This window comes from Homo sapiens, chromosome 8, assembly GCF_000001405.40.
Source record: "Homo sapiens chromosome 8, GRCh38.p14 Primary Assembly".
Lineage (NCBI taxonomy): Eukaryota > Metazoa > Chordata > Mammalia > Primates > Hominidae > Homo > Homo sapiens.
The window spans coordinates 97,224,107-97,249,773 of NC_000008.11; the positions used below are offsets into that span (position 1 = coordinate 97,224,107).

The window sequence follows — 25,667 nt, forward strand, 5'->3', positions numbered from 1 at the left end:
ACAGGCATGGGACCACACTCAGTAGCAGGGGCTTTCTCATCTCTGCATCTTGAGTCCGTGTCCCTAGGAATGGTGATATGTCCAGAGTCCTACTCCCCTGTGGTGGCACCCTGGGCATGCAGTCCTGCTAGAATTCTACTCCTGGGGCTTTGCTTCCTCATCCTCTAGGGCTTTCTCACCTTTTGCTTGTCTCCTAGCCTAGTTTTCCAACATTCCCTCTGATTCTACAGGCACCTGATCTACCTCCCCATAACCCCATTCCCCTGGCCAACCAGAGTCACTTTATGTTGCTTGCAATCAAAGACCCCTAAGGATACAAATTTGTGCACCAATAATCCTCAGCAGATGTAGTAAATACTTAAACTCTCACCAAGTCCCAGAAAGAGGAAAATGTTTGGGGAGAAGTGGGAATGGCAGGGGAAGAAATCCAGGAAGTCTTTGAAAAGGAGGAGATGTCTAGGGATTGGAAAGATCCCCTACAGGGTCAGGAATGGCCTAAACACTTAAGCAAGTGCAGACAGGGACGCTTGTGCACAGGTGGAGCAGCTGCAGGGAGGGGAGAAAGCAGAGTGTGTCCCAGGCGCCCCCTCTGCCGCTGCTTCTGCAGGACAGCCACAGCTGGGTCCCCCCACTGCACCTTCTCCCCAGAACTGAGATGCAAATGCAGCCACAAAAAAGCTGGCACCCACCCCTTCCTTCCACCTCTGGGCAGGGGCCAAGGGGAAAGGGGCTGGGGTTTCTCAGTGGTGACAACAAAGCCAAGCCAAGGAGGCATATGTGGCAACCTTGCATCCTCATAAGGGTCTTTCCTGAATGCCCAAGCCCAGAGCTTCCTCTGAGCGTACCTGGGGGCCATTGCAGCATTGGGTTCTAGTAACTTCTCCCCCTCTCTGCCGCTCCCTCCCCGAGCTTACTGGAAAAGTTCCCTCTTCATGTTTACAATTCTCCATTTCCCACTGGGCCATAATGGCCCATGCTCCATAAGCATGGAGACTATGCTTATAATGCTCTGCATTAGTCATTTCCACAGAGATTCAAGCAAAACAGCAAATCCAAGTGAATTAATTCTGACAAAACTCTGGCAAAGAAAAAAAAAAGGAAAAAGGGCCAATTGCTTATTATAGTCCTCAAAGTCAAAACGAGGGGTTACGGCAACTTATCTTGTGTTCCCCAGTGTCAAGGACAAAGGTGAGATAAGACTGATCCTCCCTTATGCCTGCCTCTTTCTTCACAAGGAGATTGGAAATAAGGAAGGTCTGGGAACAATTTGTTCAAGGTTTGAGCTGTTGGCTCCTAAACAAGGAGTGTTCTTGGGGAAAAACATTATAATGCAATTGTGACGAAAATCTCTTTTCAGTAGATTTGCAGAACATTAAATCCACAGACGGTCTCAGATGCAGTCCCTAGTTGATGAGAACAGAGCGGCTTTTGAATCTGAGTTTTCTCCCTGCCGTACCTGAGAACCCTCTCTTTCCATTTGGGGTGCTATGTTTGAGGTTTGGCAATGAAGTGGCATTTCCTTAAAAGGAAAAGAAAATACATATTTTGGTGGCTACGGCTCAGGTAGCACACGTTTCCAGAGGAAATGAAAGTCTTTGAAAGGAACGTTTGCCTCCTTCAGTATAAATAATGTTGATCTGTCAATGTCTTAACCTCTGTTTGGTGTTTAATGAGCAAAAATATATCTTTTCAGACATGGAGCACACTGGATCCTTTTTAGTGGGCCACACTGGGGTGAATAAAGATGAAAAGAAAAGCGTTATTGTGACTCCAGTGGAATACAGTGTTCTTTACGCAATTATTCTGAAGTTTGGATCCAGGCTGTTCCTAGGGAAATACCAGCTCCTTCACCGGTATTTTTCTTTTTCTTTTTTTCTTTTTCTGCCTGCAAATCGTAACCCCTAGAAATTTTAAATTACTTCTTCGTGCTTAACAAATTAACTAATTAGATGATTTCATTTGGACATTGCATAATATGGTAGAGTTGGGGATTGGTCAAGTTCCTTGATTTGATTTGAGAACCAGTTCCAGGAGTTACTGGCTGATGGACCTCCTGAAAGCCATTTTTCCCTTCAAAGCCTCAGTTACCACAGGCATGAAGGGGGGTGATAATACCCACCTCACCCCCTTCAGCTGTTATGAAGATCAAATGAAATAATGAATTGAAAGTGCTATAATGCAGATCAAATAAAATAACAAATTGAAAGTGCTTTGGGAAGTACAAAGCATGTCACGATTAGAAGAGAGGGAAGGAAAAGGGAGTCATGGTTTATTGGGCACCCAATGCGTACCAAGTCTTCTGCAAACTGACTCTCGCAATAGCCTCCTAAGCCCTCTCTACATCTCCAATCTTACCATGCTCGCCCCAATCCAACCCGAATGGCATCCAAAATGACAGAAATCAGATCATGTCATTTCCAGCTCTAAAATCCTCCTGTCTCCCATTGCAATTATAATAGTATCCAAGCTCCTTGCCATGGCTTTATGAGGCTCTACCTGACTGCCTCCTCTCTCCCCAGTGCCTACTTCTCTACTTGGTCATACTGGTTCTTCCCATTACTGGACCATGTTCAGCTTCTTTCTGTTTTGGGGCCTTTGCACATGTCTTAACCTCGCCAATCCTCTTCCTCCTTTGCAATTTGCATGTCATTTGCTTCCTCTCAGCTAGAACTGCCATATTGACCAGACCTGTTAAGTAATATACATCTCCAGGGGGTGCCATTCACATAGACTACAGTCTGCACGACAGCACATGGTGGCCCTGTTCTCAGCCTCCAGCACCACTCCTGTTATACCCTTGACTTGCACTACACTTCTCCTTCACAGCAATTTACACATTCAGAATCATTTATTTGTTAAATGTCTATTTTCTCCACTAGTCCATCAGGGTAGGGACCATGACTTCCCTGTTCACCTAGAATCCTCAGCACCTACAACAGAAGGTACTCAGTAAATGTGTATGGACTGACTTTCCATGAAGTACAGATGAGTACATATCATGCTGTCTCAACACAAGGTCACTAAATAGGCATGAGCATTGAGGCTTGGCAAGTATCTCAGCAGCTTCCCATCATCCATCTCCATCCCCAGTGCCAGCATTGACCTGGAAGCTAAGAAGTCCTCCTATACCACAGACCAGGTGTAGAGGACCTCAGAGGAAGAAGGGCAAAGGGCCACTGGGAACTGAGTCCTGCCTTCTGCTGCTAAGAGACACATCACTGCCCACTAGAAGTATTTAGTGTCTCTCTCCAGAAATGAACTATTCCAAGGAAAAGTATATGAGAACAGACTCTCAAGTTCTGAAGAGCTGAATTTTAATCTTGCCCTATAATGGGTGAGCTGATGATTATTGGCAAGTAATTATAAAATGTTCTATCCTTTATCCTTGCTAGGATTTTTTTAATTAAACAAGTCACTTTATAAGTAGAACCCTGAGCTCTAAGGCAGAATGACTCTAATAATGTGATGCAGCAGTGTTGTTATACAGTCGATTAATAAACCTCTCAAAGTATGTGGTTGCCATTGCTTCCCTCTCACCTGGGTCTTAGCTGTAGCTAGCTTCAGTAATAACTTGTTGATTAATCAATCACAAAGGATTTAGAAACAGAAGGTGATGTCTGCTCTGTGTTTTGCATAATATTAAAATAAATAACCCTAGCAAACTCAGTGCTCTTTTTTGGTGAGACCTCATTCATTGATTCTTAGAGCAAACATTTATCAAATGTCTTCTCTGCACCAGGGATTGTGTTATGTGTTGGGAAAGATGCGTTTCCTGCCTTTAAGAACCTCACCAGCTAGTGCAGGGGGTGGGGGGAAAGAGCGAACCAACGTGCAAGCAAACAATTGCAAGCAGAAGGTCAAGTCTGTTCTGATGGAGGTATGCACAGCATCCCACGGCAGCACAGCGGGGAAGCCAATCAACTCTGCCTGAGTGAGAAGACAATTCTCAGGGATACCATCTTAGACAAAGCTACTCTGCATCTCATGTAGACACTCAAGGGAGAAGAAGGTGGGAAGGCTTTCTGGAATGTATTAGTCCGTTTTCAGGCTGCTAATAAAGACATACCTGAGACTGGATAGTTTATAAAGAAAAAGAGGTTTAATGAATTCACAGTTCCTTGTGGCTAGGGAGGCCTCACAATCATGGCAGAAGGCAAAAGGCATGTCTTACATGGCAGCAGTCAAGACAGAATGAGAGCCAACTGAAAGGGGAAACCCCTTATAAAACCACCCTATCTCCTGAGACTTATTCACTACCATGAGAACAGTATGGGGGAAACCACCCCCATGATTCAATTATCTCCCACCAGGTCTTTCCCAGAACATGTGGGAATTATGGGAGCTAAAATTCAAAATGAGATTTGGGTAGGGGCACAGCCAAACCATATCATGGAGCTACTCCTGGGCAGTGAGAACCAATCAGATTCCTTCCAACTTCTAGTTATCCATTTAAATCTGATTCCCATCATCTGAGTGCACACAGACCCACAGGAAGGAGAACAAACAAGGAACTGTTTGCAGAATACCAGCCCAGGCCCTCTCCAGGTAGACAGGAGGTTTATGGGCAGCAACATCACTCCAAATTCCTCTTGAATGAGTGAGGTTTGGCAGGGGGCACTCTGCCTAGTGCATTTTTCTTCTTCTTCTTCTTCTTTTTTTTTTTTTTTTTTTTGTAAATTTGTGTATTTCTGACGAAATTTAATTCTTAGGAGTCTCACTTGCTTACATTCCAAAATGCCATTTTTTATTCAAGGTATAAGAAGCCTCTATACACCCTTTCTTTCCAAAAATGTTAGATTTTTAAATTCCCAAAGTCCAGAATGTAGGCTCCAGATTTAAGCCTGGAAAATCAGTGAAAGTTTGAGTTACAAGTGCTCTCATCTCTGACTCTCTGGGACTTCCACAGGGCTGGTGGTGACATGGTATAAGGCCGTGCAGTGGACAGCAAGCTTGAGCTGGCTGTGACCATCGCATCTAGATTGGAGTTGGGGGCTGGCTTTTGTTGACCAACTAAAGTTCCATGGAGCTTTAGAAGGGCTGGATAGATCAGAAAATATTTTGATAAATTTCCTGGAGGAAAGATGAGAGCCAAGGAAACAAAGGAAATAGCTAAAGTGGTCCACACTAGAAACATAAGTGACCAACAAACATATTTAAAAATGCTCATCATCACTAATCAGAGAAATGCAAATCAAAACCACAATGAGATACCATCTCATACCAGTTAGAATGGCTATCACTAAGAAGTCAAAAAACAACAGATGCTGGCAAAGCTATGGAGAAGAAGGAACACTTACACACTGTTGGTGGAAATGTAAACTAGTTCAGTCGCTATGGAAAGCAGTTTAGAGATTTCTCAAAAAACTTAGAGCTACCATTTGATTCAGCAATCACATTTCTGGGTATACACCCCTCCAGAATAGATAATTCTGCCAAAAGACACATGCACTCCTATGTCTATCACCTAGCTATTCACAATAGCAAAGACATGGAATCAACCTAGGTGCCCATCAGTGGTGGATTGGATAAAGAAAATGTAGTACATATATACCATGAAATACTATGCAGCCACAAAAAAGGATGAAATCATGTCCTTTCAGCAACATGGATGGAGCTGGAGGCCATAATCCTAACTAATTAATGCAGGAGCAGAAAACAAAATACTGCATGTTCTCACTTATAAGTGGGAGCTAAACATTGAGCACACATGGACACAAACGTGGGAACAATAGACACTGCAGACTACTACAGATGGGAGGGAGGGAGGGGGTATGGGTTGAAAAACTACTTATTGAGTACTATGCTCCCTACCTGGGTGCATTATACCTATATAACAAACCTGCACATGTACCCCCTGTATCTAAAATAAAAGTCAACATTAAAAAAAGAGAAAGAAAGAAATGGGCAGAAACCAGGGGGCGGGGGAGTGAATGAAAAAGACAGGAGGGAAGATGGGAACAGAAGAGTTGAGGACCAAGCAACATGAAGGGGTCCAAGGAACCTTTCGAAGCAGAATTGGATGACACTGTGTTTGAGTCAGTTTCTGATGCTATGGTACAATTCCTTTCATCTTTCCAAGCCTTCAGTAATGTCACCTACACACAAAAAATGCCTGTGGGAGAGGTTTGTTTCAGGAAAGTTAGCAACTGAGTTACTTGGCAAATGTAGTGCAAGGTCAAACATAGACTGAAATAAACAGACCTACCGAATCCCTCAGCCTCCTCCTCTGTCCTTGTGGCATTTATCTCTTTGCTGCTTGGGCACCATATTTGGGTGAGACAATACGTAAATTGATTAATTTAGTGGAAGAAGGAGCTCAAAACCCAAGGTGACCGACCACAAGCATGTAATTTACCCCAAAATTCCTGTGACTCTGGAGGAAGTAGTTGGAAGTTCCATAACCTGTAGTTCAAGGGTGCAATAGTTTGAATGTTTTTATCCCCTCCAAAACTCATGTTGAAACTTAATCCCCAATGGAACAGCATTGGGAGGTGGGGCCTTTTGGGAGACGTTTAGGCCATGAAAGCTCTGTCTTTGTGAATGGATTAATCCCACCATAAAAAGGGTTTGCACAATATATCCACATCACGTAATGGGACTAGCTTACCACCCCCCCCACCATACCAAACAAAGACTGCCAGCACTACAACCAACACCTGCATTCGTCAAGCACCAACTGTGTTGTGTACCCAGCACCATTCCAGGCAATATGCAGATATCCACTACTTTGAGGTAGTTATTCTTACATGAGCACAGGGGTGCTTAGAGAGCAGACATAACCATATATAGAGGTCACTCAACAATTCTCATAAACTTAACTTTTGTTTGGTCTGTTCTTTTGATAGCAAAAACTGTTTATTAGTTCTGCCATCTGTAGCCTGAAGTATGGAAAAAACATAGGTTTTGGAGCCTACCTCTGACACTTTCTGTGTTAATTTGGGCAAATTCCTCAACCTCTCTGAGCCTCAGTTTCCATCACAGATCTAACACTTTCTTCCTTGCAAGATTAATGTGATATATGTAAGGAACCTAACACAGCTGTTGCCATGTAATCAGCACTCAATAAATCATAGCTACCATTTTAAAAAGACAGTGGCTGGGGAGTCTTGAGGGAGTTGAGAAAGTGTGTTGGCTCTCTTCCACTCTTCTACCAGGTGAGGAACAGCGTTTATCCCTCCTGAAGGATGCAGAATTCAAGGTACCATGTTGGAAATGGAGACCAGGTCCTTAGCAGATACCAACCCTACTGGTTCCTTGATTTTGGACTTCTCAGCTTCCAGAACTGTGAGAACTGAATTTCTTTTCTTTACAAATTACCTATTCTCAGGAATTCTGTTATAGCAGCAGAAAATGGACTCAGAGAGTTTGAACAATCTCCTTTTACCCCTTAAGGGGCAAAGAGACCCCAGCTAAATCTAGGTCTAGAATTTTATTTTCTCATTTGATCATGTAATAAATAGAAATAATTGTCCTATCTTCCAAAGGAAAAGGCCCAGAGGGTCTTTTATTTCCCTAAGTCCCATACCTAATAAGTAACAATCCAGAATTTGAATTCAAGTCTTCAGCTGCAATTTTTAAAAATGTTTTGTTTAGAAATTTTTATAGACTTACAGGAAGTTGCAAAAACAGTGCAGAGAGGTCCAGTGAACGCTTTATCCAGCTTCCCCAATTTTGGGGAATTCTTCTGCAATTTAATATTCTTCCCTTCACCCACTGAATTTAGGGATGAAGAGCTGAGCTGCAAAGATGAGTTTTGTGCTACAGCAGCCTTTTTAGGTTTACAGATCATCAGGCCCTGGGTCTCTAGCTGAGAATCAGAAAGTAAACAGACAAAGAGTTCAGCCTAAAGAAGTTCAAGTCCCAGAGCAGTGGATCTCAACCCTAGCTGCACATAATCATTATCTGGAGAGCTGTTTAAAATACAGGTTCCAATATAATCAATTAGTTCTGGGAATTAGGCTTCCATGTTTTCTGAAGCTCCTTAGGAGTTTCTAACAGGCAGATAGGGTTGAGCTGTGCCATTGGTACTAATAGGCTCTAAAGTGAGCCCACCCTCTCATCAGAGCATGGTGTCAAGCGACTCTCCTTCCTAAGATCCCATCGCTGACACCAAGATACCTATAAGAGGATCCTGTGAGTGGAGAGGCTCCTGGGGTAACCTGGCAGGGAAATTTGTCTATTGTGTTTACTGAAAGGCATTGTAGTACTGCCACTCAGAGCTGTGCTTCCCTTTCTGAAACAGTCAAGCAGTTCCGGGCACATCAAAGGAGATTATCATTCCTCTGGCACCGGCTTTGTTTTTCGCTGCCTCTAAAAGAAACAGGTCCACTTATCTCCAGAATGCTTTCCCAGAAAGCTCAGTCCCTGCTGGGTGAGGTCACCGGTCCACAATTTGCGTCCATCACACCTTGTAGGAAGTGAGGAGAAACTGACTTGCTTTGTTTTCCAGCACCGGGGAAACAGATTTCTTCTTAAGCTTCACACAATAAATTGTATTAAATCCTTTCAGCAGGGTTTCCATGGCTATGTGAAAGGAAAATCATACAGTAATTGTTTTAAATAATACAGCAAGGCAAGCTGGAGAGTACATCTTAATTTTTGTCATCTGTGCTGTGTTCCTGTTTGTACGGAAATGTTCCCGAGGCAGAGGAAAGGTTTCTGCATTCACTGGGAGTTGCTTGGTGAATGTAATGCAAGGTCAAATACAAACCAAAATAAACAGACTTACTGAATCCCTCAGCTTCCTCCTGTCCATGTGAGCCCCAGGGCTTGTCTGCTTACTTTAAGTGGGAATTAGGATGGCATTTATCTCTTTGCTGCTTGGGCACTAAAACTGAGCCTTCGACTGCATAAGCCTGATTCCTGCTTCTCCCTCAGTCCTCCATAAGGAGACAGAGTTAGACGTCTGCCCTAGACAAAGGCGATGCCTGAGAGGAACCTTGAGTATAAATTTGTCCCCCAGCTGCCTGGTACCTGGGGAATTCTGCAGGGTTAGGTCTTTCCACCAGTGTTAGCGCAGTCATTTACAACAAAACATCACGCATAACAGTCAAGGTCCTGTAATCCCAGCACTTTGGGAGGCTGAGGCGGGTGGATCACCTGAGGTCGGGAGTTCAAGACCAGCCTGACCAACCTGGAGAAACCCCATCTCTAGTAAAAATACAAAATTAGCCAGGTGTGGTGGCGCATGCCTGTAATCCCAGCTACTCGGGAGGCTGAAGCAGGAGAATCGCTTGAACCCGGGAGGTGGAGGTTGCAGTGAGCCAAGATCATGCCATTGCACTCCAGCCTGGGCCACAAGAGTAAAACTCCGTCTCAAAAAAAGCAAAAATAAAAAAGAGTCAGGGTCTTCATAATGGACTGTCCAAGATTCTGAGCCCCAACAACCAGGCTGTTGCAAACTGCCTACCCTCTCTGAGATTTCATTTCTTCATCAGTAAAACGAGGACGGTGAAACCTATACACCCAGAGATTCTGGCTCTCAAATCAGGTAAAGGATATAAAGTGCCTATCCTAGTATCTGACAAAGCATCAGGGCTCAATAAATAGTAATAGTGTTTTGTTACCATTATCATTATTAGTATTTGGTTGTAGAAGAGACTGCCTCTCTCATAATAAGGTGAACCAGAGGGTTGTTGCCTGCCTGGGTGGTATCCAGATTAAATTCAACAACTGCCACTGAGCCCCTTCCAGATGTCACAGAGCTGGCTAGTGTTGGGAAATTGGCAAAAGTCTGCTTCCTCCCCTGAAGGAGCTCTCAGTCTAGAACTAGGACCCTCACCAACTGATGCTGATGAACATTACACTCAGATTGTACTTGACCATGGCTGGCCCATGTTGTGCGATTACTCCAGGGAGAAAGCAGTTCCTAACTTAGTCCTAAACAATCAGTTGGATAAGGAAATAGAGAGCTCTATACTGTCACTGACAGAAAATGTCATGTTGGGTCCCAATCCTCTGTAGGCAATTCAGCTTCTAAAGCAGGATACAAGTAAATTCCCTCAGCCAAGCCCCAAAGAGAGTCAGGGCAGACTGCACCCCAGGGCCTAGTCCTTTGACCACAATGATGCTGATGAGAACCTCATGTGGCCGGGAATGGGGAGGTGGAGGAAAGAGAAGATAGGAGTCGAGGAGGCAGAGCCTCACCAAGCAAGTATGAGATCACTTGGCAGACAAACCAACATTGGAAGGAAAAGGACATTGGCCCTAGTCACAGTCTGCCATTTTGAACTCTGGAAGTTTATTTTAGCTTTTTTTTTTTTTTTTTTAACGTTTTACAGCATGGACAATAAAAAGTAAGAGAACACATTAAGAAGATTCGCCCACACAGAAGTCATCTGTGGAGCCAAAACCAAGACATAGTTGAGATGTTTTGCTTTAATCTGTGCCTGTGAGAGACACTTGCTCTGCAGGCCCCATGGGAGTTGTGGAACAGACTCACCAGATTCCAGGGCTGCCTGAGAGTGTGCCAGTCTATGGCCCCTAGATGCCAGTGTGGCCCTGTCCTTCGGTGCCTCTGGTCGGTGGCTTTTGCCTACAGTTCACTAGGTCAATCCCAAGCCTATCCCTTTTTCCAGATGCAGCTCATGACTCACTCGCTTCCCTGTTTAGAACTTTTTCCCAAGGTGGAGTAGGTTGATGCCAGAGTTGGAGCCCCTCCTCTGCACTCCCATGTCGCCCTCTACTATGGTACTTACCCCCTAGCCATACTTCCTGTTTACCTGTCTGTCTCCCCTGCTGGTTCATGAGCCCCTCATGATCACAGGGGAGGAACCGTCTCTTAAGTGTCGTGCGTCCCCAGAGCATAGCACAGGGCCTGGTGCATAGAGGCATGCAATAAATGGTTGTTGAATGAGTGAATGCCTATATAAATAAATGAATGGGTGACAAAGCTCACTGAGCACATCAGTATGGTGATGTGCTGAACATCAAGACATTCCTTTAAACCTCTCAGCTGGGGTCTAGCCTCTTTAAGTTTGCCCTCACCCCATGTGGAATTCCAGCACCCACTCACCAATCCACATGCACATACAGTGGACAGCAGCAGCATCTTAGGCCTCCAGGGGGCTTCAGAGCCCCTGCTCCTTCTCTCTAGGCTAGTGCCTCTGGTCTCACTGTAACAAGGGCTGGGTCTGCTCACCTGCTCACTATGACCTTAGTGAGCTAGGCCTGCTCAGCGCATGTGGAGGTGGTACGTGCCGTCTATGGAACCATAACAGCCCCATTTTAAAAGGCCAAGTGTTTCTATTTCTTTTGAGCCCAGGATTTTTTCAGAACATTTCCCCCATGAATCAAAATCCCCTATAGTCCATTATAGAAAAATGGACAGCAAATACAAAGATGCTAATGACCTAACCTTACTCTCAGGTCCTTAGTAAAATGACCAGATTCTTAAATTAATTCTTCCCACATGGCCACAAGCATCTCATCTACCTTTCAACAAAAGCAGATGACTCACACTGGTTTACTAACCATAGTAACTACCTACTGACCCACTTTCTGTCACTATATTGTCGCTTTTCATACATTCTCTCTTTTAATTCCCATAACAAACCCATTAGGTGGGTTCTGTTTTGATTCCCATTTTATAGATGAGGAAAATGAAGCTCAGATATTTTAGGTGACTTGCCCACAATCACATAGTTGATAAATGATGAACTTGAGATTTGAAACCATGACTGTTGACCTCTAAGATTTAACCTTATCTGGTTATCTCTTGTTACATAACAAACCATCATCAAAATTTAATGGCTTAAAACAATTTACTATGATCTCTCATGGTTCTGTGGATTGACTGGGTCAGGTGGGAAGTTTTCACCTATAGTCTCTCACGCAGATGCAGTCAGATGGCAGCTGGGGCTGCAGTCACCTGAAAGCTGAACTGGGCTGGATGTCCGAGATGACAAATCATATGGCCACCAGTCAATGTTCACTGAGGACTGGGAGTTCTTCTGGGGCTACTGATTGAGCATTTATATGTAGTCTGTGTGGTTTGTGCTTCTCACAGAATTTAGAATCCACAGGATAGTGGGATTCTAAAAAGGAGTATTCTAAGAGAAAACTTTTCAAGAGATCCAGGCAGGAACTGCAAGGCTTCTAATGCCCTAGTCTCACAAGTCCCAAACTTCACTTCCTGTGTATTCTATTGGTCAAGCAATTCCGCAGGGCCAGCTTGGATTCAAGAGGAGGGAGATAAGACAATAACTCTTAATAGGAAGAGGGTCAAAGAATTTGCAGTCATCTTTGTCACTGTCTGCTCTCTGATTGCATATTATTTACATTCCTCCCACATGGTAAATACACGTGTCTCCTCCTAAGACCCAAAAGTCTCATCCCATTATGGCATCCACTCAAGCTTGAGGTCCAGGATTTTATCATCTAAGTCAGATCTTGATGCAGATGAGCCTCCTTGGGGTATAGTTCCCTGAGTACAGCTCTGTCAATCTGAAGACCTGTTAGATGAAGAGACAAGTTATCTGTCCCACACACATAAATACAGTGGTGATACAGAGATAGGATAACTTCACTAAAGCTTTCATTCGAAAGGGAAAGAAACTGGAGGCACATCGCAGTCACTGATCCATAGCAATTCTAAACTGCTGCCAGGTGCATGTTGCCAGATCCTTGATTAGTGAGTTCCCAGTTGTGCCTCCCTGGGAATGATTGTAGCTCTTGGCTCCCCACTCCTAGTGGGATTTTGATTCTGCTCTCTGAATCATTCTTCCTTTTCCATAAGAAATGGCCATGTTTGCAGCTTAGTAGCCTTCTTGTCCTACTTCCTACCCATATAAGGCTCTCTGCAGTTTGAACTGTCTCTTTCCTGTTTAGTTCAGGCTGATGGTGCTTTCGCATGTACAATTCTCTTAAATTTTTTGTAAGTTTCCTAAAGACTGTTTCAGGTTCACTCCATTAGTCAAATACATACCTACAAATCTCTTTAAGGTATGCCACTTTCTGCCTTGGGCTGACAGTTAGGTGCTATGGAACAATGCCCTTCAGAATTCTTCAAAGTCTGTGAAGTAGACTTTCGCCTCTCCGTGTGGCCTGGGCTTCTTACAGTATGTCACCTTAAAGGTTTCTAAAATCTTAGCAAGCGTCTTAGAGCCATATCTCTGAGATGATCATTACCTTATACCATGTCTTACTTTGAGAACTTTTTTTCCAACTGGAGAGGCTTGGAATGGAAAACAGCTTTATTTCTAAACCCAGCAAGTCTGGCTTCTTATATTCCATCTAAGTTTTGCTTGAAACCGAATAGTTCATTATGGAAGAGGGGAGTTCACTTCCCTATATTCATACTTTACCATACTTGCCTAAGAGAAACCATTAGGCATGTTTAGCATTCTGCCTGGAAGTCTCCTTAGCCAAATCTGCCATTTCCTAGATATATTTTCTGTTTTTCACATTACCAAAAGCAACAGTATACCAAATTATCCATCATTACAAAACAAAGGATGCCTTTTTCCAACTTCCAATAACAATGTCCTCATTTTCCCTCTAGTTCTCAGTAATAGTTTCCTCAGGGACCTCACAGCTTCTTCCTGCTGCTTGGTCCCCAAAGCCAACATCCCACATTTTAAGTTTTCATTATGGCAGCACTCCAGGTACCAAATTCTGTTCTAAGTATCCACAGTTCCACAGAATGCCACCCAAAACATAATTGTTTAAAACTGCAATTTATTATTTATCATGGTTTTATGGGTTGACTTCATTCAGCTGGGTGATTCTTATCTGGGCTTTCTCCTACAGTTGCAGTCAGATGTTAGCTGGGGCTGCACTCAGCTGAAGGCTTGATTGGGATCCGTGTCTATATGGCACACTCAGATAGCTGGCAGCTGATACTGGCTGTGGGAGGGAAGCTCAGTTGGAGCACCTACTTATGGCCTCTCCATGTGGCCTGGGCTTCTTACAGTATGCCACCTGGTTCCAAGATGGACCATTCTGAGAGTGAACGTTCCAGGAGACCCAGGCAGAAACTACAACACTTCCTCTGACCTAAACACAGAAGTCCCAGAACATCATTTTCACTGTATTTTATTAGTCAAGCAAGTCACTATGGCCAGCTTAGATTCAAAAAGGGAGGAATTAAGGAAAGAAGAAGACATAGAGACTTGTCTCTCATTAAGAATCCATCTCTTAATGAGAAGCAAGCCTGTGTCCTCTCCTTTCATACTATTCTATACAAATTATGGGTCAGCTCTGCATATCTGGTAACTCATTCCTTTAAATATTGATGCTGATTCTGCTCCCAAGGCCATCTTGTCTCTTACCATAAAAAAATACACATATCCTACTAATATATAGACTCAATTTGACATTCTTCTGAGCTTTATATTTGTAAAATATGTTAACTTTTAGTAACTTTAGGACATATGAAAGCTAAAATTGACAATGGCTCTGTCAAACAGCCATCCATGGAGAACCTAGATCAAGAATATTGCCTCTCAATCCCCAGAGCTCTCTCACTCCACTTGATGGGGCCCCACGGGGCCAGGTACTGAGGGGACTCCCCTCTCTGTATCCCACCCAACACTAGTTTCCCCCTGTGCCCTGGGGGAGCCCTAAACTGGGCACTGGCTCATTCTCACAAATATTTTAAGGGGGAGTGGAAAGGGAGGGGGTCATAGCTGTTTTGTTTAACTGGAACTAGAACAGGGATCATGTCCTATTTTAGGACAGAAAGGGGGAAAGATATCAGGATCTCACTTATGCACTGGCCACCACCACTGTCACTCATCACTTTGAGTGTACGTCCCTCAAGAGTCTGTATAAATTCAAGTCAGAGCTGCAGCTACACAGCCATCCAGTGTCATAGAAAAGCAATTCATGGATGACTGATCTCTCCATTCGGAAGGATGCAGTCTTCACATACAATGATGAGAAACTGTTATTTTATAATCTTTTTATTAAAAGCTTGGCTGAAAACCAAAAAAAAAAAAAAAAGAAAGAAATATTGCCTCTCTTTAGGCAATTTATTCATGAGCAATTAGCTGCCTGAAACAAAGAAGAAAACACCCGAATCAAACATCCTTATAACCTTCAATTAATTACCACTGCTAAGTGGCAGACCAAAGTGTAAGTCTATGTCCAATTACACACCTTATGGGCCATTGCTTTTGTTGGTGTAATAAGCCTTCAGCCCCCTTTTGCTATCTTCATCCTTCAGAATGGCTATCTGATGTGGGTAAAAGTGAGTGGTCATTCTCCACTTGTGCTTCCTCTACCTCTGTCAACAAGCATGACACGGGGAGGAGGCTGTTAGGCAAGAGGGGAGGAGGAATGGAATGCAGCAAGGGCCTCTGCAATTTTATAACTATGACAAAGAATATACGCTCTCTTGCTCAAATGACCATTTGGCAGTATCTCTCACCTTGCCGAGAGCCAGTATAGCTTGGAGAGAATGGGCACAAGCTCTGGAGTCAGGGAGCTCGTATCTGGTTCCTGGCCCTTCCATTTAATGTGCAACAATGGACAAGTTATTAACCCTCTTTGTGCCTTATTTCCTCAGTTCTCAATACTCGTCCTGCTTCTCCTGTTAGTCACATGTAATTACCTGATCACTCCCTCCTTTTGAAAACACCCAGAGTGACCGAAGGGTCAGGGAGAGCTGACTTAACACTGGGCAATCAGGTGAGCACATCTGAGGAGGTGGCATTTAACCTGAGCCTTGAATGACAAGAAGAACCCAGCAGGCTTGTAACAGTCATGGCAGGTGTATTAGTTTCCTGCAGCTGCTGTAACAAATTACCACAAATTGGGCAGCTTAAAACAACAGAAATGTATTCTCTCCTAGATCTGGAAGCCAGAAATCTGAAATCAAGGTGACAAGGCTGCCCTCCCTCCAAAGGCTCCAGGGGAGAACCCGTTCCTTGCCTCTGCTGGTGGCTCAGAAATTCTTTGACTGTGACCACATCTCTCCAGTCTCTACCTCTGTGGTCACATTGCCTCCTCCTCTTCTCTGTGTGTCTTCTTCTCTGTGTGTCTGTCCTACAAGGTTGCTTGTGATTGCATTTAGAGCTACCTGAATAATCCAGGATAAGTGCCTCTTGTCAAGATTCTTATTTTAATCACATATTTTTGCTATGTAGGGTAATATTCACAGGTTCCAGGGATTTGTAGGTGGACATATATTTTTGGGGCCACCATTCAACCCGCTGCAGTGTGGTCAAAAAATAAAAAGAAAATCAGACTGGATGGGGACTTTTCAGCCTAGTAAGGGGTTTAGTTTTACTAGCAATGAGAAGCCATTAGAGATCTCAGGCAGAGTTTATACTGAGATGTGTGTGTGTGTGTTTGTGTGTGTGTATGTATGTGTGTGTGTGTGGTTTTTTTTTTTTTTTTTAGAGGCAGTATCTTGCTCTGTAACCCAGGCTGGAGCACAGTGGTGCAATCCTAGCTCACTGTAACCTTGAACCCCTGGGTTCAAGCAATCCTCCTGTACCTGAAACTACAAGCACACACCACTGATAGCTAATTTTTACATTTTTAATAGAGTCGGGGTCTTGATATGTTGTCCTGGCTGGTCTCAAACTGCTGGCCTCAAGTGATCCTCCTGCCTTGGTGTCTCAAAGTCCTGGGATAACAGGCGTGAACCACTGTGCCCATCCTATACTGAGATATGTCTTATGATGATCACTGATCACTCTTGCTGCTTTGTGAAGAATGGATTTGGAGGGAGAGTAGAAGTAGAAAGACCAGTTCAGAGGCCATTGCCAATCTGAAAACTTGAGTAGGGGGCAGATCTGATATTATCCATGTAGATTACAGGCAAATAATCCTTCATCAAAGCCTGTAACACAATATTGCTCATAAGAACAATTTTTTTGATAAGGCAACTTCTCATTCTAAATCCTACAAAATAGGACTATGTCCTGGCCCCACTTTATTTTACCTTTAACCCAAATAATTTACTTCTGCTATTAACTAAAATGAACTCATGCTCTGTTTTCCACAGCATTTGGGGACTTCCTCCATTATACCAATGACATGGTTTTAGAGTGAGGAACTCAGAGCAGCCTTGAGAAGAAGCTAAAACATTTGGTAACAACAATCAGAAAGAACAATGTCAGGTCTGCCATACAAAAGTGAAAATATTTGCAGTGGGGAGCAAGTGGGTAAGTAATAGACTGAATACTTCCTGTCTTAGGCTGATCAGGTGCCATAACAAAGTACTGTAGACTGGGTGACTTATCAACAACATAAATGTATTTTTTACAGTTTTAGAGGCTGGAGGTCTGAGATAGATCAGGGTGCCAACATGGTTGGGCTCTGATGAGGGCCTTCTTCTGGGTTGCAGATGGCTGTCTTCTTTTTGTATTCTCACATGGAGGAAAGAGAGCAAGCTAGTTCCCTGGACTCTTCTTATAAGGGCATTAATCTCATTCCTGAGGGCTCCATCCTCAAGACTTAATTACCTCCCAAAGGTTCCACCTCCTAATATAATCATATTTGGATTAGGGGTTTCAATATATGAATTTTGGGGGAACACAAATAGTCAGTCCATTGCACCCCGGCCATGCCCCGCAGGCCTTTCTTTCACGACATGAAGATTTCCTTACAACCAACTCAGTTGATGGGTCCATTAGCTTACAGGATGTGTTCAGAAACAGACTTTCTGCAGAGATGAGACTAAGCATTTTTGTGATTAAAAAGAAGCAGTGCTTTTATTAATGTTGCTTTTCAGGCCACAGTTGTCTCTTTCATGCATACAGCAGAGATCTCTGAGGTCTTAACCAAGTACATGCATCTCATGTGATTAAACTAGCCATTAAAATAGAACATTGGTTCTATTTCAAAAACAGATGTTGGCTCTACCAGCAGTTATCCCTGCAGCCACCCTCTGGTTTTGCCTTGCCTTACAGGGAAAGGGAAGAGAGGACCAACATTTATTGCCACCCACTTTGAGGGGTCTCACTTTGTGGCAGAGACTTCTGATTGTCCTTCAGTGGTCACCCTTCCTCCCTGTGCCCCTTCACCCTCGATTAGTAATAGGATCCTTGACTGTTAACTAGTTAGTGTTGCCAGATAAAATATAGGACATCCAGTTAAATTTGAATCCCAAATGAACAATGAAAAAAAAATGTATGTTTCAAATATTGCATGAGACATACTTATGCTCAAAAAATTATTCATTATTTATCTTAAAATTCTGATTTAACTGGGTGTCCCATATTTAACTGGGTTGTACTGAACAAAGATGATGTTTCTCACCTTTCCCTGAGGCTAAGTGAGACCTTGTGACAAAATTCTGGCCAAAGGGATGTAAATAAAAGTGTTCTTAAAAGAAAATAACGTGCCCTCTCCCTTTCTTCTTCCTGCCTGTGTGCTGGGATGTGAAGGTAATCCGGGAACTCCAGCAGCCATTTTGGACCATGAAGTGATCTTGGGAATGGAAGCCATTCGTGGTACAACAAGAAGCTAGAAGGAGTCTGGTCCCTGGTCTAGAAGATGAGTGAAAAATATACTTCTACCTTATTGAAGTCACTGTTATTTTGTTTTTTCCTGCTACTTGCAGCTGAAGCTAATAGTACCTACTACACTATGTCTTCTAATTCTCAGTTAACCTTGAAAGGCACATTATTCACATTTTGGCAAATAGAATCCTGAGGCTGAGAGAAGTAACTTGGCCAAGGTGGTCACATAGTAATCATTGAGTCAGATTTTGAAACCCAGTCTATGCGAAAGGTATCCTGGGCTCTTATTTTTCTACAATACATTCCTTCTCTGGGTAATAATTTTTATCAAATTCCTAAGGTTTTGTAGTATAATATTAAATTTGCTTCTGCATGTCTGCTCTCTAAAGCATTTAGCTTTCTCCCTCACCAAAAATACAGAACAAGACATTTCTGCTGTCAATGTTATAGGATCTAAAACTCCATCCCTAGATCTGATATTTGAGAGATCTGCACCAAACGACACATTATTTATTTACTTGTTTCCTTTGGGGTTGCTAAAGAAATGTTTCTAGTCTGTATTATAATAGTTCCCTGCAAAAATGTCTTAAGTGAGTTATGATTCAATATGAAGTGCTCGCTTTTATAGAGAATCGGTATTAAAAGGTCTATTTGTCTATATCTTTTGAAACTTACTGGGTTGTTTGTTGTTCCTTGTAAAATAGAATTTTCATGCAATAAATTTCACACTGAATTTAATGCCAGAAAAAAATATTTTCAATATCTATTCAGGCATAATTCTATGTTTTTTTGTTTGTTTGTTTATATTTTTGTCAAATATCAAGAGAATAGGAGACCTTAACAGTTACTTTTTTGCTTTGGTTTCTAGGAATCTTGGAGTTAAATCTCATGTTTATTTGTGGTCATTCAATCATTCCAGATACTAAAATATTTATTTCTGATTTTTTCTTTTTTAAAATCCATTTTTTCTTTTTCTCCAACAGTTTTTTTCTTTTTCTTGTCTCTACATTTCCATTTTAGGATACATTTTTATTATTATTGACTACCTCAAATTTGCCTTCATTTATTTCACAAATGCTTATTCATTGCCTCCTTTGCATACCATACTTGCCTGAAAGAAGGTAAGCTGCAAGCTATAAATTCCTAACTGAGCCTTTGCTTGTAACTCATGAATACTATTTTCTTTCAAAATGGCCCTACAAATCTCTACCAAATAACTTATTCCAGAATTAGATGAAGATCAACAGTAAACCCAATATTTTCCAAAATTTACATTCTTTCTTCTGTTTTAAAAACCAAAATATTAGCCCCACCATTCTAGCCTTCTGACAGAAAGCACGTAGCAGTCACAAATTTCAGGTGCTATTAATAGGACCAAACCTAGAGAAAATTGTGGAGGGAGTAGCGTTTTGACAGCAGCATTTCTGCTGCCATCTCTTTTGCAATTGGGGCTTTGCTCTGGGTTCCCGAACACTGAGTACTTCTGGGCCCTCTTTTCACCCACTTCTAGCTACCAACCCTCTTCTCAAAGGATATCACAGACATCATTATAGCTTTGTGTGGATGCCACTCTTTTCTCCCCCAGGGGGAATGGCATCTTCGCCCTTATAGCAAATTAGGAAATGAAGGGCTTCATCCCCGTTAGAGGAAACGTATACGCTGTTGAATAGGTTTTAAGAAGGGGGAGGAGCCAGGCGCGGTGGCTCACGCCTGTAATCCCAGCGCTTTGGGAGGCTGAGATGGGCAGATCACAAGGTCAAGAGATCGAGACCATCCTGGCCAACATGGTGAAAGCCCATCTCTACTAAAAATACAAAAAATTAGCCTGGTGTGGTGGCAGGTGCCTGTAGTCTCAGCTACTCAGGAGGCTGAGGTAGGAGAATTGCTTGAACCCAGGAGGCAGAGGTTGCGGTGAGCTGAGATCGCGCCACTGCACTCCAGCCTGGGCGACAGAGTGAGACTCCACCTCAAACAAAAAACAAACAAAAAAAAAATGGGGAGGGAGGGTGAAAAGCAAGACCTGAGGGCCTTGGAGACAGTAAGAAGCTGGGGCCTTCCTGGTGTCTCTGAAGTGGCCGTGCAGTCAGCATCCATATGCCTGCTTGTCTTGCCCAGCAAAGCACCTGGCAGGTGCATGTCTCCATGGTGATGCAGCCCGTTCTGTCAAATATTACTGAGCTTTCAAAGGGTGGAAAAACCAGCTAAGCAGAAAATTTGAGCCTTTCTGCTAGACCAGGGAGGCTGAATTGGAATTTTGATTTTCTTGCCCCCCGCCCACCGTTAGAAATGGTTGACCCCATCATCTAGGATAGCCTGAGCTTTCTGCCCTTTCAAGCTGAAAAGAGAGACCAGCAACGGCCCATATACCTAAAGAATCTGTTTGGCTCCTCCATGACATTCCCCTCCCTCACACCTGGGGTTTCCCCCTCTGCCCACAGTCTGTTCTTGGAGGAGGCTCCTGATGCAGTCCTCTCCGGCCTCACAGAGGGAAATCATGTGCAGTGATTCACAGACATTATGGTTCACAAACCCCTTTCACATGCTCTGTGAGGTAGGTTTATGACCTCTGCATTCCTGCTGAGGAAACAAGCTCAGGAAAATTTAGTGGCTTGTATAAGATTTACAAAAAATGAGAAAGCAGAGCTGGGACTAAGAGGTCATAGCTCTCACTCCAAGACAAGAGTTATTTTCAGTTCTCTTCAGCGAATGTGTCTGCTGAGAGCCAAGCAGGTTGGCCTCCTCTCGGAAGCCTCCTGCTAGCAGATGCTCGGCCCCCTTCCCTTCATTCCCCCAGCGCTTTGCTCACACCTCTCACGCTCTAGGCGGCTGTTGATGTGACTCTGTTCCTAGGCTGTGAGTCTGTCAATGGCAGGGACAATGTCTGATTCAACTCCAACTACCACATGCCTACCACCATAAATGTCAAATGAAGGAATGAACTCGGGGCTAGACCCTTACTGCTGTCATACCAGCATAAGGAGAGTACTCTAGTCCTTGTGGCACTCCGTATAGAAAAAAAACAACAACATCATTTTCTTGACACATTATCCCCACTGCACACTTGCTGTGTTCAATGAAAAAAGAAGCAGGCTTTAGGTGTTGTAGGACATTTTAGTGGGAAAGATTTAATGCCCTGGAATAATATCTGCCTCATCAAGTTCACATCAGAAAATCAGACAAACCAGAATATGGTCTTTTTTCTGTTTTTGTCTTAACGGCTTTGGAATTGTGGTCAGTGGAAACAGCATAGTTTGTAGTAAAAATATTCCTGGCTAGCCAAGTGACACATCTGGTTAGTCAAGGACAAGGAAGAGAACAAACTCTTTCATTCCTCAGCAGCTCAGGAGAAGGCATCTGGGTGGGTCTGCCCATGAGAATGTTTGTGAAGTGTCATTTGAGAAACTCTAGCAGAGCAAGGATGATGAATTTCATAACTGAAATCAGGAATCAGGTCCAGAATAAAGTTTGGACAATTTTATAAAATTGTGGAGTAGACGAGATCCTACATGAGGACAATTATTCTATCCCTCCCCTGCTCTTTAGGACAAGACTGAAATTATCCTAGAAAATTTACTCACTTTAAAAATCTCTAGAATAGGAATTTCTTAAAACTTTCCTGGATGAGCCTTTTAAATACCTCACAAACTTTATGGGAAGAAAAGTTTTCCTTCTTTCTAACCCAAATCCTTCTTGCTGAAATTCAAATCCATTCCCTCTTGTTTGAGGATCAGCCAAGGATTTAATGCCTTGATCAATTTGCATCAAAACATGCAATAAACTTATTGGTTTTTTAAGACGTGTAAAGTACACCTGTTAGCACTCCTTGTTGCAAATAAATACCCAACTCACAGTAACTAAAACCATAAAAGAAACTCTTTGATACCCATAAGTGAAAAATACAGAAGTAAGCTGAGCCTTGGCATCTTAATAATGTCAATAAGGGCCTGTCTTATTTCCTATTATCTGCTCTGCTTACCATAGTGTCAGAGTCATCCTGAAGCTATTTCCCTCATAGTGGCAAAATAGCTGCAGCAGTTCCACACCTCACAGGCTTATACCACACCATCCCTTCTGCGATAGTGTGGATGTTTGTCCCCTCCAAGCCTCATGTTGAAATTTGATCCACAATGCTAGAGGTGGGGGCTAATAGGAGGTGCTGCAATCATGGGGGCAGATCCCTTATGAATAGATTAATGCCCTCCCTCAAGGGCAAGTGTATTCTTACTCTATTAGTTCCCTCAAGAGCTGGTTGTTTAAAAAGGACCCAGCACCTCCCCATATTCTCTCTTATTTCCTCTCTCATTATGAGATCTCTGCACAGGCCAGGTCCCCTTTACCTTCCAACATGAGTAGAAGCTGCCTGAGGCCCTCGTCATATGCCCATGCCCAATCTTTAATTTTCCAGCCATCAGAATCATAAACCAAATAAACCTTTTTTTCTATATAAATTACCTAGCCTCAAATACTCTGTTATCACAACACAAATGGACTAAGACACCTTCTAAGCAACAGGTGCTAAAACTCCCCCGATGAGACTTGCTTGGGTTATGTACCCACACTTGACCCAGGAAATGTAATATACCCGATTGGTTTGATTTAATCAGGGCTCACCCTGGACCTGGTAATAGGGGGTCAGCTTTCCAGCAGCACTTGGGCTTAGTGGGAAAGAAGACGAAAATGGAATTGAAATCTTGGTACTGTTGCAAAGGGGATGGGTAAGATGGACAATTGAATACTCGGTAATTGTGCAAACAGAAATGCACCTAAGGTTAAAAAGCATGGTATGATTTGTTTTGCATATAAGACATCTCCCCAGACCTGTGGCTTGTCCACTTAGAGATGGGTTTTATAATCCTCATGTATCAGTGTTTCCTACCCTTCCCTGATGATGAGAATCACTTGGAGCATTTGTTAAAGCCATAGCTTCTTAGGTTCCTCCCTTGGAGCTTCTATTCGATGGGTCTTGGATAGGGCCTGGGAATTTTTAATTGGAAACATTCTCCAAGTGATGCTTATGAGACAACGTCCCATACACAACCAACTCCAGTGCATGCTCTTTCTACTCCTAAAAGCAGGCAGGTACACTGTGGCTGCAAAGATCTTTGGGATGAGGAGGGGCATGCTCAAATCATGACAGTTCAGTCTAAAAAAGACTTTAGGAAGGTCTTTTCAGACTTGGTCATTGTGAGTATTGGTCTGAGTCTGTAAGTGGTGAAGAAAACAATTGCTAATCCTTATTGAGTACTTAATCTGTGAAGGATGCTGAGCTGAGTGCTTTGCATGAATTATCTTCTGTAACTGATGCATTTCCTTTTCTGGAGGATTTTTAGGTAAAGCAGGGACTCTCAACCTTCTAAAACATTCTTATTAAGCACTGACACCCTTATCATGTATAAAAATCAAAATCTCCCACAATAACCATTTACATATCCATTATTGAGAAAATATATAATATCAAGAAGTGACTTTTGTCAAAGTTTTCTTTTGTTGAAATTATGGAAACCAGCATGAGCTACCATGATCAATTTTTAATGTATTGGAAAGACTTCTAGGATACTCAGAGGCAATTCTGGGAGGTAAAAAGCCAGAGCTGGAGAGCAGTTAGAGTCTGACTGTGCATTGCCTCAGTTTCTACTTCATGTACTTGCAACACTCTTTTCCCCCTGCATCCCCACTTCCCATGCTGAAATTGGGGTGAGCAGGAGGTGGTGCCATCCCGCAGTTCCCAGTTACATATTATCACAGGGCCACTCACCTGCACCCAAAAGCTATCTTTGAATTCCAATTTCAAGTTTCTAAAAGGGAGGCTGTAGTTGGCTGAGATTAGGCAAGGCGTCTGCCTTGGATCCAATTCACTGAGACTGGGGAGAAGGGGCTCATGTGGCAAAAACATGGGCCAGGAACCAGGGGCCAGTTTCTATTGGGGGGACGAGCTTAGTTCTCACAGAAAAGAAGTCTTTGAAAGCTGAAGAGAAGCCTCCCACAAGGCTATTGATACAATGAGAGTGAATCAATAGCTCTTGGATTTTTATTTTATTCATCCCAGAAGCATCTGGAAACATTTGAAAAATTGTGGTGCTGGATGTGCTCGTGGCTTCCTAGACCTACTGCAGTAACCCTTCAGCCCTCCCAGGGTCCAAGGCCAGCACGTGGGAGCCAGCGTGTTAGAGGAACAGGAATAAACCAGGTGATTCTTAGGAGTCCTTGACCTCTCTGGTTACATCCTTGGAAAGAAATGGGGCAGATAATGCTTCACCTGCTAGAAGTGATTGGATGAAGGGCAACAGATTTCCTCCCTGGCCTCTCCCAGGGCCCTCCCAAAGGCCTACCTCCTCCCTCCCTGGCCTGCCTCAGAGCAGGCCCAGCCACTGAGCCTGCCTAGCTGGTAGTAACATTTCAGTCTCACTGGCAGCTGACTGCCCACTTCCTGGCAGCTCCAAACTGCAGGAGACTAATAAAACAAGACCTAACGAATGGATGGCACTGCAGTAATAGTGAACGCTCAGATTTATTCTTGTTAATAATTTCAGTGGAGTAGGCCAAAGGGACTCTCATCAGTATAACTAGGAGATAAAATTCTGATGAATGAAGCAATACCTTGTTGCTTAAGGAATAGTGCATAATTAAGAGGATTGTTGACCCTAATTGAAATGATGTTGCCAAGGTAAGCCAAATAGCACTTCTGGACCAGAGAGGGAGTTTTCTGCCCAGGACAGACTCTCCTACAAGCAGAGCAGCTAACTTTGATTCTGGTAACGTTAAGAAATGAGCTTTGGGCCAGGCGCGGTGGCTCACACCTGTAATCCCAGCACTTTGGGAGGCCGAGGCGGGCGGATCACGAGGTCAGGAGATCGAGACCATCCCGGCTAAAACGGTGAAACCCCGTCTCTACTAAAAATACAAAAAATTAGCCGGGCGTAGTGGCGGGCGCCTGAAGTCCCAGCTACTTGGGAGGCTGAGGCAGGAGAATGGCGTGAACCCGGGAGGCGGAGCTTGCAGTGAGCCGAGATCCCGCCACTGCACTCCAGCCTGGGCCACAGAGCGAGACTCCGTCTCAAAAAAAAAAAAAAAAATAAATAACCTGCCCACAATAAGTAATTTAAAATATAGTAGCAAATCTTAAAATTCAAGGAATGCTAAGATGTACTGATTTTTTTCCACCATGAGGACTTTGACGTATCTTTTAGAAATATCTAATTCTTTTAAAGGTCTGGGGCACATCTTAAGCATATTTCAGGGCTCCTCTTGGGTAAA

At 43.3% G+C, this 25,667-nt stretch overlaps 1 long non-coding RNA gene across 1 annotated transcript in view, besides 1 other annotated feature; it reads right to left on the reverse strand.

The window, feature by feature from the left end:
• LOC101927066 (uncharacterized) overlaps window positions 1-25,667 on the reverse strand; it is a 494,634-nt gene that overhangs the window by 272,243 nt on the left and 196,724 nt on the right. The gene's annotated exons all lie outside the window — the stretch shown is intronic.
• Window positions 7,919-8,526: an enhancer, noted in NCBI's record as "OCT4-NANOG hESC enhancer chr8:98244253-98244860 (GRCh37/hg19 assembly coordinates)". NCBI's record gives its function as "activates a minimal SCP1, AML or CMV promoter by ChIP-STARR-seq in naive and primed H9 embryonic stem cells {active_cell/tissue: H9 hESC(naive and primed)}" and the evidence as "EXISTENCE:reporter gene assay evidence [ECO:0000049][PMID:30033119]".